Below are 15,011 nucleotides of genomic sequence, written 5' to 3' on the forward strand. Positions count from 1 at the left end.
CAAAATTCTATTATTCAGTCTTTTATTTATTCATCCAATTTCTTAAGCACCTAGAATGGGTTAGGTACTATCTGTATATTGATCTTTTTTTTTTTTGCTGTTTTTCTAATATATTGCAGAGATTACATTGTAACTAATTCTACTTTTTGGCTTGAAAACCCTTAACCAAAAATATTATTATACCATATATTATTATGGTCTTAGAAAACTGTACTATATTTTGTTTATCTTTATATATCCAGTGCCCAACCTGTTGTATCTGCTATAACTTAACCTATTCAAAAAATTTGCAAATGGTTTCACAGAGCTATACATATACACACACACTATATATAAGTGTGTGTGTAAGTATATATTATATATAAAATATAATTATATGTAAGTATATATAGATACTTTTACACACATATATAATAGTATTAATCTCATGTGTATTTAAGAATTAAAAGAGTTACTGCATGTAAAGCTCCAAGAACAAGACCCAGCAAATAGTAAATGTTCAATGAGGGTTGGCTTCAGTTATTGCTAACAGTTGAGTTCTTCCTCAAGGCTTGGGGCTCCCATTCTTTCTACTTTTCTCCATATTCTATCCCAGAGGATTTAACATCACATTCAACTTAAATAAAGCCAAGTTGATAGTCCTGGTTTTTTTAGTTTTATTTTTAAATTTATTTAATTTTAATTTTAATTTATTTTTAATTTGGGTGGTACATAGTAGATGTATATATTTACAGGGTGTATGAGATATTTTGACATAGGCATACAATGGATAATAATCACATTAGGGTGAATGGGGTATCTATCACCTCAAAAATTTATCCTTTCTTTGTGTTACAAACAATCCAGTTATACCCTTTTAGTTATTTTTAAATGTGCAATAAATTGTTGTTGACTGTAGTCACCCTGTTGTGTGATCAAATACTAGATGATATTCATTCTAGCTAACTATATATTTTTGTATCCTTTAACCATCTCCACTTCTACCTCTGCCACCCCACTACACTTCCCGGCCTCTGGTAAATGTCATTCTACTATCTCTATAAGTCCAATTGTTTTAATTTTTTAGCTCCCACAAATAAGTGAGAAATGTGAAGTTCGTCTTTCTGTGCCTGGCTTATTTCACTTAATATAATCTCCTCCAGTTCCATTTTTGTTGTTGCAAATGACAGGATCTCATTTTTTTAAGGATGAATAGTACTCCATTGTGTGTATGTATCATAATTTCTTCATCCATTTACTTGCTGATGGACACTTAGGTTGCTCCCAAATCCTGGCTATTGTGAATAGTGATGCAAGAAACATGGGAGTGCAGGTTCGATATACTGGTTTCCTTTCTTTTGAGTATTTCCCCAGCAGAGGGATAACTGGATCATATGGTAGTTTAATTTTCCATTTTTTGAGGAACCCCCATACTGTTCTCCATCATGGTTGTACTAATTTACATTCTCAAAAATGTACAAGTTGTACAACAGTGTACAAGGGTTTTCTTTTCTCCACATCCTCGCCAGCATTTGTTATTGCCTATCTTTGGCTAAAAGCCATTTTAACTGGGGTGAAATGATATCGCATTATAGTTTTGACTTGCATTTCTCTGATGATCAATGATGTTGAGCATATTTTCATATACCTGTTTGCCATTTGTATAGCTTCTTTTGAGAAATGTCTATTCAGATCTTTTGCCCATTTGTTAATTGGAGATTTTTCCTATTGAGTTGTTTGAGTTCCTCATATATTCTGGTTATTAATCTGATGTCAGATGGATAGCTTGCAAATACTTTCTCCCATTTTGCAGGTTGTCTCTTCACTTTGCTGATTGTTTCCTCTGCAGTCCAGAAGGTTTTTAACTTGATGTGATCCATTTGTCCATTTTTGTTTTGGTTCCCTGTGCTTGTAGGGGTATTACTCAAGAAATCTTTGCCCAATCTAATGTCCTAGAGAGTTTTTCCAGTGTCTTCTTTTAGTAGTTTCATAGTTTCAGGTCATAGATTTAAGTCTTTAATCCATATTGATTTTATTTTTGTATATGGTGAGAGAAAGGGATTTAGTTTCATTTTTATGCATATGGATATCCAGTTCTCCCACCACCATTTTTTGAAGAGACGGTCTTTTCCCCAATATACATTCTTAGAAACTTTGTCAAAAATGAGTTCACTGTAGATTTGTGGATTTATGTCTGCATTCTCTATTCTGTTCCATTGGTCTATGTGTCTCTTTTCTTTGTACCATGGTGTTTTGGTTACTAGCTCTGTAGTATAATTTGAAGTCAGGTAATGTGATTTCTCCAGTTTTGTTCTTTTTGCTGAGGATAGCTTTGGCTATTCTGTTTTTTTCGTGGTTCCATGTAAATGTTAGGATTCTTTTTTCTATTTCTGTGAAGAATGTCACTGGTATTTTGATAGCGATTGCACTGTCTGTAGATTGCTTTGGTAGTATGGACATTTTAAAAATATCCATTCTTCCAATCAATGAACATGGAGTATCTTTCCATTTTTTGTGTCCTCTTCAATTTTTTACATCAATGTTCTACAGTTTTCATTGTAGAGATCTCTCATTTATTGAGTAAAAGTTATTCCTAGGTATTTATTTCATGTGTAGCAATAGTAAATGAGACTACTTTCTTTTTTTTTTTTTTTTTTTGAGACGGAGTCTCGCTCTGTCGCCCAGGCTGGAGTGCAGTGGCGGGATCTCGGCTCACTGCAAGCTCCGCCTCCCGGGTTCACGCCATTCTCCTGCCTCAGCCTCCCAAGTAGCTGGGACTACAGGCGCCCGCCACCACGCCCGGCTAATTTTTTGTATTTTTAGTAGAGACAGGGTTTCACCGTTTTAGCCGGGATAGTCTCGATCTCCTGACCTCGTGATCCACCTGCCTCGGCCTCCCAAAGTGCTGGGATTACAGGCGTGAGCCACCGCGCCCGGCCGAGATTACTTTCTTGATTACCTTTTCAGATTGTTTGCTGTCACCATGTAGAAATGCTACTGATTGTTGTATGTTGATTTTGTATCTTGCAACTTAACTGAATTCATTTATCACTCCTAATAGTTATTTGTTGGAGTCTTTAGGTTTTTCCAAATATAAGATTGTATCATCTGCCAACAGGGATAATTTGACTTCTTCCTTTCCAATTCAGATGCCTTTTTTTTTCTTTCTCTTGTCTGATTGCCCTCGCTAGGACTTTCAGTATTATGCTGAATAACTAGTGAAAGTGAGCATCCTTGTCTTGTTCCAGATCTTGAAGGAAAGGCTTTCAGTTTTTCCTCATTTGGTGTGATACTAGCTGTGGGTCTGTTTATGTGGCTTTTATTTTGTTTATGAATGTTCCTTCTATACCCAGTTTTTATCATGAAGGGTGGTGAATTTTATCAAAGGCCTTTTCATCATCAACTGAAATTATCATATATTTTATATCCTTCATTCTGTTGATATGACATATCACATTGATTAGTTTGCATACGATGAACAATCCTTGCATCCCTGGGATAAACCCCATTTGGTCTTAAATAATATTTTAATGTGTTTTTTTTAATCCATTCAGCCACTCTATGTCTTTTGATTAGAGAATTTAGTCCATTTAGATTCAATGTTATTATTGATAAGTGAAGACTTACTCCTGCCATTTTGTTTGTTGTTTTTTGTGATCTTCTCTTCCTTCTTTCGTTCTTTCTTGTCTTCCTTTTAGTGAAGGTGATCTTCTCTGGTGGTATGTTTTAATGTCTTGCTTTTAATTTTTTATGTATCTGCTGTATGTTATTTTATTTGAGGTTACCATCAGGTGTGCAAATGATATCATATAACTCATTTTTAAACTGATGGCAACTTAATGCTGATTACATACACAAACAAGCAAAGGGAAAACTAATACAAACTCTACACTTTAACTTCAGCTCCCTACTTTTTATATCTGTATCTGTTTATATCTTATTAGACTGTGTCTTGAACAGTTATTGTAGTTATTATTTTTTATAGGTTCATTTTTTAGCCTTTCTACTCAAGATATGAGTAAGTTATACACCACAATTACAGTGTTGTAATATTCTGTGTTTTTCTGAGTACTTATTATTACCAGTGAGTTTTGTACCTTCAGATGATTTCTTATTGTTCATTAACATCATTTTCTTTCTGATTAAAGAACTCCCTTTAGCATTTCTTGTCTAGACAGGTCTGGTGTTGAATAAATCCCTCAGCTTTTGTTCATCTGAGAAAGTATTTATTTCTCCTTCATGTTTGAAGGATATTTTCATTGGATATTCTATTTTAGGATAAAAAGTGTTTTTCTTTCAGCACTTTAAATATGTCACGCTACTCTCTTCAGACCTGTAAAGTTTCCACTGAGAAGTCTGCTTCCAGACATGTTGGAGCTCCTTTGTATGTTATTTGTTCCTTTTCTCTTGCTCCTTTTAGGATCCTTTCTTTATCCTTGACTTTTGGGAATTTGATTGTTAAATATCTTGAGGTAGTCTTATTTGAGTTAAATATGCTTGGTGTCCCACAACATTCTCGTACTTGAATACTGATATCTTTCTTTAGGCTTGGGAAATTCTGTGTTATTACCCTTTTAAATAAACTTTCTACTCTAATCTCTCTGTCTACCTCCTATTTAAGGCCAATAACTCTTGGATTTACCCTTTTAAGGCTATTTTGTAGGTCTTGTGGGCATGCTTCATTCTTTTTTCTTTTGTCTCCTCTGAGTGTGTGTATTTCAAATAGCCTGTCTTCAAGCTCACTAATTCTTCCTTCTGCTTGATCAATTTTGCTATTAAGAGACTGTGATTCATTCTTCAGTATGTGCTGCTGGTGGGGGAGGGGAAGAGTGGTGCAGGCAATTCAAGACTCTCTTTCCTACCTTCTTCAGTGCCTCTTTCCTTAATATAATGTTAAAACCAAATAGTGTGGTCGCTCACCTGGTTTTTAGTTCTTATGAAGGTGCTTTGTTTTGTGAATAGTTGTTCAATTTGGTGTTCCTGTAGGGATGGGGGAGGGGGGGATGATTTCTGGAGGCTTTTGTTTGGCTATCTTGTTCCACCTCCTCCTTACATTTTATCATTTTTTAACCTTTTAAGTTTTATTAGAGACAAACTCTCACTATCTTGCCCAGGCTAGCCTTGAACTTCTGACCTCAAGTGATCCTCCCACCTCAGCCTCTCCAATAGCTGGGACTGCAGGCACACACCACCACACCCAGCTTCTAGTCCTGTTCTTTATGCCAAGATTTAGTGTCATTTCTTCAACTGCCTGGATGTCATTTTACAGGCACCCCACCTGCCGTCTTCACCACAACACATTTAAAACCACAATCGCCTTTATCTAGGATCATTTCCAGATAGTGGCCAGTCTCATAAGGAAGATGAGAATTCACAGAATATTACAGAAATTCATCAGTGATTAAGCTTTGTTTACAAAAAAAAAAGTGATATGACAGAATCAGAGAGTTCCCTAGGCTCCAGTCATCAGAGATTTTAAGGCAAAGGCTACACATATTCTATAATTAAACCAGAGATAGATGGGAGTGGCTGTCAGGAAATCTGGTCCACAGTAAAACAGCAGAACAAAAGCTGATGTCTGTTAATTAAGGCAAAGTATTGGGACGAGAAAACTTACAAGGGTTCTATTGCAGCAACAGAGAAGGATCTGCTTACTGAAGAAGGTTTTAGAGCTGTCTAATTAGATCCTATGTTTATTGTAAAAACCCCCAGGCTTTCAAGAGCCTCCGCAAGTCCAAGTCCCCTTAAGCAAGGACTACTTTTCCAATAAGGAGGCTCTGGTATCTAGTCCACCCCCATGGAGAGATAATGAGGTTCTGCCTAGGGAAGGGCAAAAAGAAGAATGATCTGACTGTATCTCGGGCCCCAAGAATTTAGTAGGCTGGTTCTCCCTCCACAGGCATGACAGAGCATGTTTGCCCTCATCTCTGGGACAAGCATCAAAACCTTTGATGCTATTCCCTGCTTTCCAGGCAGACTTGAGGGTATCTGGCAGTCTGAATCTGCAGACAAGCAGATTAGTGATAGTGTAGTAAGCGTCCTAAAGTGAAAATCACAGTAAAGATAGCATGCTGTCTTTGGAAAGGCATGGAAGGATAGACAATGGTGAGGGGAGTGGAAATAAGGAGTGGCAGTGAGGGAAGGATATTAATCTTACTTATTTAATCTTTATTTTGAAATGGTTTCATCTGTTACACAGAATAGGTACACTTTGTGTAGGAGATAGATGCTGACCATATTTGGTTATCACCTCCTCTTGGAAGCCTCCCATGATTCCTCTATATGGAGTCAGGTGTCCTTTCTCTCTTTTTCCAATGCATTTTATTTATCTCTGTATTATATCACTAATCAAATTCGACTGTATTTATTGGTTCACCCTTGTCCATCCCTCCCACTACACTAAGCTCCTCAAGAGTTGGGAATGATGAGGGCATGTACTGTGACTGGCACACAGAATGCTCTAATACAAATTAATTGATGGATTGACTGAAGATAACAACCCCTCACTCAATACCCTACTTCAGAGATTGGCAACCTTTTTCTATAAAGGGCCAGATAGTAAATATCTTAGGCTCTGCAGACCATACGGTTTGTACAACTACTCTACTGTGTCATTGTGGCATAGAAGCAGCCATAGGCTGCTTACATTCATAAAATGTAAATGAATAGGTGTAGCTACATTTCATTAAACTTTATTTACAGGTACTGAAATTTAAATTTCACATAATTTCCACGGGTCACAAAATATAATTTCTTCTTTTGATTTTTTTTCAATGATTTCAAAATGTAAAATCCATTCTTAGTTCACACCCTGTACAAAAAGAGGCAGCAGGCCAAATTAGCCCAGGGGTCATAGTTGGAGGATACCTACCTTCCCTGAAAGGCATGGCTGGTAACCAAGGAAATTCTACTTAAAGGGATGATTATTCACATCATATAATAGGTACTGAGTAACTTTGGGTATGTCCCAAACTTTCAACAACTATGAAAATTGAGGTAGTATCACAGAATTTTGTAAAGAAGAAATTATATAAGGAACCATATCATCATTGAAAGTTATGTAATTTCATTTGTGAGGAACATGAAAGCCTGTTGATAATAACAGTAACTAATATTTGTTGAGTACTTCTTATGACTAGACTTTGTTCTGTGATTCTTCAATGAATGAATCCACTTAAATATCACAACCATCCTGAGAAGTAGGTTCTATTGTTATCCAACTTAATAACTAAAGTATGAATAAATTCCCTAAACCTCAAAATTAAAAATTGGTAAGGGTGTGGTTTTTGAGCCAGGCAGTCCAACTCCAGAGTATGTTCGCTAACCACTAAATATACCACCTCTTAAGAGAATAACAAAAGTAAACTTTCAAATATTTCTCTAAGCTTTCTCTTTCCCGTTCTCAAGACTAGAAGAGTGAGCTGAATGAGAATGACTGGCAAGGACTGCAATGTGAATTACAACCTCACCTAGAAACTAGATATCTATGAAGATGGAAATCTAAATTACCAGCTGGCAAGCTGTGGTGATGTGGCCCCTGTTTAACCTAGGAGATTTTGATAGGCATACAGACACATGGGCCTATCCAGAAAGGAGCTAGTCTTCACAACTAGATCATCATCTGTTTGGGAGCTCATGCATGCTATTAAGTAAGTGAGTTTACTGTGTGTCTTAGTCCATTTGGGATGATATAACAAAATACATAAACTGTATGTATTAACATACAAACAATAAAAATTTATTTCCCACAGTTCTGAAGGCTGGGAAGTCATTAAAAAGTGAGCAAGATCTGGATGGACAGAGATGTACCCATTAGGCCTGCTGAGCCACCAGAGAGTGATGAAGTATTTGATTCTTCCACTATGAAGCAGTAAGAGAGCTAACGCCACAGAATATTGGCCAATATAGCAAGTATAGGAACTAATGAATTCAGAAAGCATTGAGGACTTCCTCTGGTGAATGGTGTAAAAGAAAGGTACCAGTTCAGAGGTGGTGCAGCATCTTTCTGCAGGTCCCTTTGGATGCCGTGAAAGGATGTAATAAAGCATAAGAATTTTACATAGCTCAAACATACAAAAATTTTTCTGGCCCAGCTCATTACCTGCATCCACAGAATTGAAGTAGTTCTACCCCAGGGTAAACAATGTACTTTTTAGGGTCATGAAGTGGTTCTGAGGACCCACTGACAAGTATCAAAAGATCCGTATATACCCGAGATTGGTATGAATATTCATGTGCATGTTTCTGGGGAAGCAATTCATTGCATTCATCAGAAACTTGAAAGTTCAAAAGTTGAAAGGTCCTTGTAAGCTAAGTGGTATCACTACATTTTCAAGTACGTTATCAAACAGGCATTTTCAACATTTGACCACCTGAGTGCAAACTGGATTGTAAGTTTTTGAGTAGCTCAGTTTAAATCAATCTAGGCTTGACCAGAGGTAACCTAGGAAACTCAGAGATATCAACCCATTCCTCCCCAATCGAGAAAGAGAGAGAGAGAGGGAGAGAGAGGAAAGAATATGTATGTTACACCCAGATTATTTCTGTAGTCTATTCACTTTCCCACTTTCCTTGAGAGCTGTGTTACATCTGTTTTCTCTGTCTCTATCAGCCAATTCTCCTGCTTCCTACTTCACTGAGAAAACTAAAGTTATCAGGAGAAAAATTCCACAGATTCTCACCTTCTCATCTACCCACCACTGGGTACTGACACTCAAATTCACTTTTCCCACCTGTTACTGTTTTCCTCCTCAGCACTGGATTCCATTTTTTCTCAAGGATATCACTCAGCAAATCTCTTCCATCTTTCATTCAAACATCACTTTCTCCTTTCTTTTGGATCATTTCCATTAACACACAAAACAAGCTACAAGCTATTATTTATCCTATCCTAAAATACCCCCCCACACACACACACACAATTTTGCCCCACTTTTCCATTCCTGCATCTACTTCCAGAAAGCCCAACATATAACAATGTCCAAAACTAAATTTCTGGGATTTATTGCTCAAATCCACTCTCCTTCTCCATCTCTCATTTCTGTTGATAGTAACTGCATCCTCCCAGTTTCTAGGGCTAAAAACTTTAGAATCATCCCCGACTTTTCGTCTTACACCCATGTTCAATCTGTTAGGAAATCTCACAACAGATTCCTACTTATCATTCAAGGTTCTAATTAAGTTCCTATATTTCTTCTTGAAGCTTTCCAGAATATTTCTGACTTCACAGGGCTCTCTCTTTTTCTACATATCTCTGCTGGCACTTCAGTTGTGTGTTGTAATGCTTGTAAATATTATCTTTTCTAACTCACTACAAATATGAATTATAACTCAGACTGTCTGCCTCCTACAGGACTAAACACACTAATGTGTATTTAGTAAAGAATCCATAAACATCACTCTAAGTGCTTGTTTTTGCTGCAAGTTTCCAATAAAATTGGTACACAAACAATACTTACTTCTATTAGTGATGTTTGACATCAGATCTTCTAAATTTCCTGCATTTGCAAAGATATCTGTCATTTCTCCAAACACCAGCATCATGAGAGGAAGTCCAGCCCCATGGATGATGGCAGCCAAAGTTCCCACCACCATATACAACTTGTCAAGCCAATTTGAATAGCGAAACTAAAAAGAGAGAAAAAAGAATAGCAGAGGAAAAATTAGTACAGTTTCATGGAAGATTTGCTTTTCCTTCAAAATATATCCAAAATCCAAACATTTTTCAGACTACTACTGATACCAACCTAGTCCAAGACACCCTCTACCTTTGCTAAATTATTGCAATAGTCTAATTAGAAATGGACATTTGATTCTTCCATTGAGTTCTGGCCTAATTCTTCATATTGGACTTGGTCTGTCTTCTTATATGAAGTCTAATGAGAAGGATGGGACATTCTGGGAAACTGTAAAAGTATTTAATGGTATATAATATGGTATTTGTTGCTCTAGTTTCTAAGAATAGAAGCCACTTATCATCTCATGGGCAAAAACTTGAATGCCAAAGGCCCCTCTGAGGATACCATGGAGGAAACATTGTGTTGCTTTAAGAAAGTGGTTTGGGTTAAAGACCTGCCAAACAATGGAACTGGTATAAAGGTAAAATGATTTGAAGATAATTAGGCCTCAAGAATGAGCAGAAAAAAGAAAGGAATGAGTCTGATGCATGCTTGTCAAGGAACATTTTTTCTGAGAAGACAGAATATGGCAATAATGAATGACCCACGTTGGAGATCTGCATAATCTCTTTAAATGTAGGCAGGTAACAGGAAGGAAAGAAAAGCTTCTCTGAACCCAAAAAGTTACAGGAAAAGGACACAGTTAAGAGGAATGGGCTCAGGGCCCCCTTGGGAAGTGATTAATACTGCTTCCCTATAACTCAAGGAACTAGCTAAGGATTGAAAGAAAACCAAAGGGAAAAAAAACAGAAATGGGGTAAAGCCAGCTGTGGGTGTCTATGGATAAATCCCAGGGCAGAAGGTTAACATGTGGATGCAAGGTGTAGCTGTAGGCAACAGGTTTGTAATGCAGGGAGGAAACTGGGTAAAAAAATCATAGGCCTAGGCAGGAAATATAAACCAAAACAAAGATTAGGCAGCAAAAAAGACATAGCCACAGACAGCAAGATTTTAGAACTTACATATACTTCACAAGGGGATAGAAACCAATCCTAGAGTTAGCTTACATGAATCTTACAGTAGCAACTGGGGGATTTGGTACTGGACTGCCGAGTGGAGAAATAAAGAATGGTTATTACCAGTAATGAATGGCAGTCCATAAAGCAGGAGATAAAAAGTAAAGCCAAATTATGAAATAATTAATGAAAATTAAGATATGGTGTGTAAAAAAGAGTATCTAATAGATACTTAAGTATTTGCATTTACCCTTTTTCTAGCTCTTAAATGTGTTATCAAATGAGCTTAAGTTTGGGTTCATGGCATAACTTTCCATGTTATTTATGGGTTGATGATCTAAAAACATCATCATATTTACAGATTAAAACATTAATGGGACAACACGTTTTGGCATATTTTTTCATATTTCATTGAAACACTGGCTAAATTTTGCACTATGTACTTTGTCTTAGATAAGAATTCATCTGCTTCCTTAAACAAAAATGAAAGGGAAGAGGTCTTCTTTTAGAGATTATATTAAAGTAGATAAAATATCAAACTCCTTAGTACAGGAAGAGAAGATAGTTGATATGAAAAAATTTCTCCCATCACCACCAACACAGGACATTTTACCTCCAGAACTGTCACTGGCCATAATAAAAATAAGTGGATCATGAAAGTAGACATTTACTGAATGCCTATTCAATGACAGATAAAATCCAGAGATAAATGCCAAAGATATAACCCTGCCTTCAGAGAGGTTAAAGAAAAATGTATATGCAATACATGCTCTGCATGCTTTGACAGTACAGTGTATAGAATAGACACAAAACTGAGTCAATCATCATTCCCTCCTTTGTGAAAAGGCTTCATATGATAAAAGAGGTGATGCTTCCTTCCAGCTTTGAAAGTTTACCAAGTGTAGCTGGGTGCAGTGGCTCACACCTGTAATCCCAGCACTTTGGGAGGCCAAGGCGGGCAGATCACGAGGTCAGGAGATCAATACCATCCTGGCTAACACAGTGAAACCCCGTCTCTATTAAAATACAAAAAAAGAAATTAGCCGGATGTGGTGGCAGGCGCCTGTAATCCCAGCTACTCAGGAGGCTGAGGCAGGAGAATGGTGTGAACCTGGGAGGCGGAGCTTGCAGTGAGCCGAGATCGCACCACTGCACTCCAGCCTGGGCGACAGAGTGAGACTCTGTCTCAAAAAAAAAAAAAAAAAAAAGGCATTTAAGCCAAAAAGAAAAGTAAACTGAGACAGAAAAGAGCACAATGTGCTTAAAAAAGACTGGGGACCCTCAAGTTTGGGGTGTAAAGTGTGGAAACAGAAATAGCTGACTGATCAAAAGACACCCCTCACTGAGCTGGGAAAATTGGAATTACATCTCTTAATCTTAGACTAGAAGGAAGGAGATTAAAGTGAGTACTAATTTTCCAGGAATAAAGACAGAAAATTGAAAGAGTTCAGAACCTCATATTTCCTTTTGTTTTTTTTTTTATTATTTTTTATTTGTTTATTTTAACTTTTAAGTTCATGGGTACAAATGCAGGTTTGTTACATACGTAAACTTGTTTCATGGGGGGTTGTTGTACAGATTATTTCATCACCCAGCTATTAAGCCTAGTACTCGTTAGTTATTTTTCCTGATCCTCTCCCTCCTCCCACACTCCACCCTCCGAAAGGCCCCAATGTGTGTTGTTCCCCTCTAGGTGTCCATGTGTTCTCATCATTTAGCTCCCACTTTTAAGTGAGAACATGTGGTGTTTGGTTTTCTGTTCCTGTATTAGTTTGCTAAGGATAATGGCCTCCAGCTCCAGCCATGCCCTGCAAAGGACGTGATCTCGTTTCTTTTTATGGCTGCATGGTGTTCAATGCTCTATGTGTACCACATTTTCTTTATCCAGTCTACAATTGATGGCCATTTAGGTTGATTCCATGTCTTTGCTATTGTGAATAGTGCTGCAATGAACATACAATGCATGTGTCTTTATAATACAATGATTTATATTCCTTTGGGTATACACCCAGTAATAGGTCAAATGGTATTTCTGTCTTTAGGTCTTTGAGGAATCACCACACTGTCTTCCACAATGGCTGAACAGTGTATAAATGTTCCTTTTTCTCCACAATCTTGCCAGCATCTGTTATTTTTTTACTTTGTAATAATAGCCATTCTGACTGGTGTTAAATGGTTTCTCACAGTGGTTTTGATTTGCATTTCTCTAATGATCAGTGATGTTGAGCTTTTTTTATATAATTGTTGGCCACATGTCTTTTAAGAAGTCTCTATTCATGTCCTTTGCCCATCTTTTTATTGGGTTGTTTGTTTTTTCTTTGTAAATTTGTTTAGGTTCCTTATAAATGCTAGAACCTCATATTTCTTAATGACATGAAGCAAGATTGATTTCTAGAGAGAAGGGGGTGAGAAGATTTGAAGAAAGTGGTAACATAATGCTGAGTAGGACAAAAGCCTCAGTCAAATGCCCTCACTCTGTAGTTTATTAGGAAGGAGACTTTAGGGGAAAAAAATCTTAATAACCTTGAGTCTCAGTTTCTGAATTTACAAAATGAGGAAAATATTCATACACACAGAAAACCTTACATAGCTGTTATGAGGGTAAAAATGAGAATACAAGAAACTTATTGAGCATACAATATGCAAATATATGATATAAGCAGATAATGTTACTGGTTTTGAAAATATAATAATTAACAAGACTTTTCACTCTCATAAAGTCAAAAAGCAGGCAGACCAAAAAACGTTGTAACACAGGTGAAATGTAAAATAGAAGTATAAACTAATTGTAATAGGAGCTTTTAAAAAAGGAAATGCGCTGGGCATGATGGCTCACACCTGTAATCCCAACACTTTGGGAGGCTGAGGGCAGGAGGATCACTTGAGCCCAGGAGTTTGGTACAGCCTGGGCAACATAGGAGACCCTCTCTCTACAAAAAAATTTAAAAATTGTTTGGGTGTGATGGCATGTGCCTGGGGTCCTAGCTACTCCAGAGGCTGGGGTGGTAGGATCACTTAAGCCTGGGTGGTTGAACCTGCAGTGAGCTGTGATCATGCCACTGTACTCCAGCCTGGGTGACAGAGTTAAGACCTAAAAAAAGAAAGAGAGAGAGAGAGAGGAGAGAGAGAGAGAGAGAGAGAGAGAGAGAGGGAGAGAGGGAGGGAGAGAGAGAGAGAGAGAGAGAAAGAAAGAAAGTTTGATTAGATGCTGAAAGGAAAGAGAGAGAAGGTGAACCAGAACCACATAAAAGGCATGTTGATCCGTGCCTAATGCCAAAGACTGGGCTTCCCAGGGCAAAGAAGTAGAAGGTACTGACAGGAGAGAGGTTTAGGTAACATTCACCAGATTAGATGGCAAACATGACTTGGATTTGAGAGAGAATTAATTCATTCATTTATTCATTTAACATTCAAGGGATATGTGAATATTTTAAAATATCTTTCAAATATTTGAAAGAACCTAATAAGGTCAGGCTTGGTTCTAGGTACTGGTAACAACAGTGAGTAAGAAAAGCTACCTATCCTCACAAAGCATACACTCTAGTGCATACACTAAAAGGGGGAATAGATGTATTCAACATTCATTCAATATTTAAGTTGCTATGAAAGTTCCAGGCACCATTCTAGGGCATTTGGGTTATAGTAGAGAACAAAATATACAAAAAATCTCCTGCCTCCACGGAGCCTACCTTCAGAGAGAAGACAAACACATAAAAAAGAAATCAGACAGTGATAAATATTCAGGAGAAAAGCCATACATGGTATGACACAGAGACAGGCAGGGTCACCTGGTTTAGATTGGCTGGTCAGAGAATGTCTTTCTCAGGAGGTAACATCCATGATGAGACTTCAGTGACAGGAAGGATACAGTTCATCCTGTGATGATCTGGGGACAGTGCATTCCAGGCAGGAAGAGCCAATGCAAAGGTACTTAGGTAAAAACCAGCTTGCTGTATCCCAAGGACCAAAGAGAATGAACACTGTGGCAAGAGCAGAGTGAGAGGGAATATTTGTCTGCAGTAAAGTCAGAAATAACAGAGGTCAGATATGTAGGGCATTTTGTGATGACAGGAAGGAGTCTGGGTTTTACACTGAACTTCCTGTGTAAGCAGAAAGGAAAGCATTTAATGGTTTTAAGGTAGGGACCAAGGTGATATGATGTGGCTGCTATGGGTAAATTTTTAGAAGAGCAAAAAGGAAGGAGGGATACTAGGAGATGAAAGAGCAGTTGAGAGAGTAAAGTCTTGACCAGGTGTGGTAGACAGAATAATTCTCCCCCCACAGCCTGTCCAAATCCTAATCCCAGGAACCTGTGAATATATTTCTTTACATGATAAAAGGGACTTTGCAGATTTAAAAGATCTCCAGATAGGGGATTACCCTGGATTATCTAGGAGAG

At 37.5% G+C, this 15,011-nt stretch overlaps 1 protein-coding gene across 4 annotated transcripts in view, besides 1 other annotated feature; it reads right to left on the reverse strand.

Annotated features, from left to right (window-relative positions):
- ABCB1 (ATP binding cassette subfamily B member 1) overlaps positions 1 to 15,011 on the reverse strand; it is a 210,279-nt gene that overhangs the window by 73,058 nt on the left and 122,210 nt on the right. For all 4 annotated transcript variants that reach the window (NM_001348944.2, NM_000927.5, NM_001348945.2 and 1 more), the window contains one exon: positions 9,438 to 9,606. In NM_001348944.2, coding sequence (NP_001335873.1) covers positions 9,438 to 9,606 — 169 coding nt within the window. The remainder of the gene's footprint in view (positions 1 to 9,437; positions 9,607 to 15,011) is intronic.
- Positions 13,314 to 13,814: an enhancer, noted in NCBI's record as "H3K4me1 hESC enhancer chr7:87218704-87219204 (GRCh37/hg19 assembly coordinates)". NCBI's record gives its function as "activates a minimal SCP1, AML or CMV promoter by ChIP-STARR-seq in primed H9 embryonic stem cells {active_cell/tissue: H9 hESC(primed)}" and the evidence as "EXISTENCE:reporter gene assay evidence [ECO:0000049][PMID:30033119]".

The sequence above is a fragment of the Homo sapiens genome, chromosome 7, assembly GCF_000001405.40.
Source record: "Homo sapiens chromosome 7, GRCh38.p14 Primary Assembly".
NCBI lineage: Eukaryota > Metazoa > Chordata > Mammalia > Primates > Hominidae > Homo > Homo sapiens.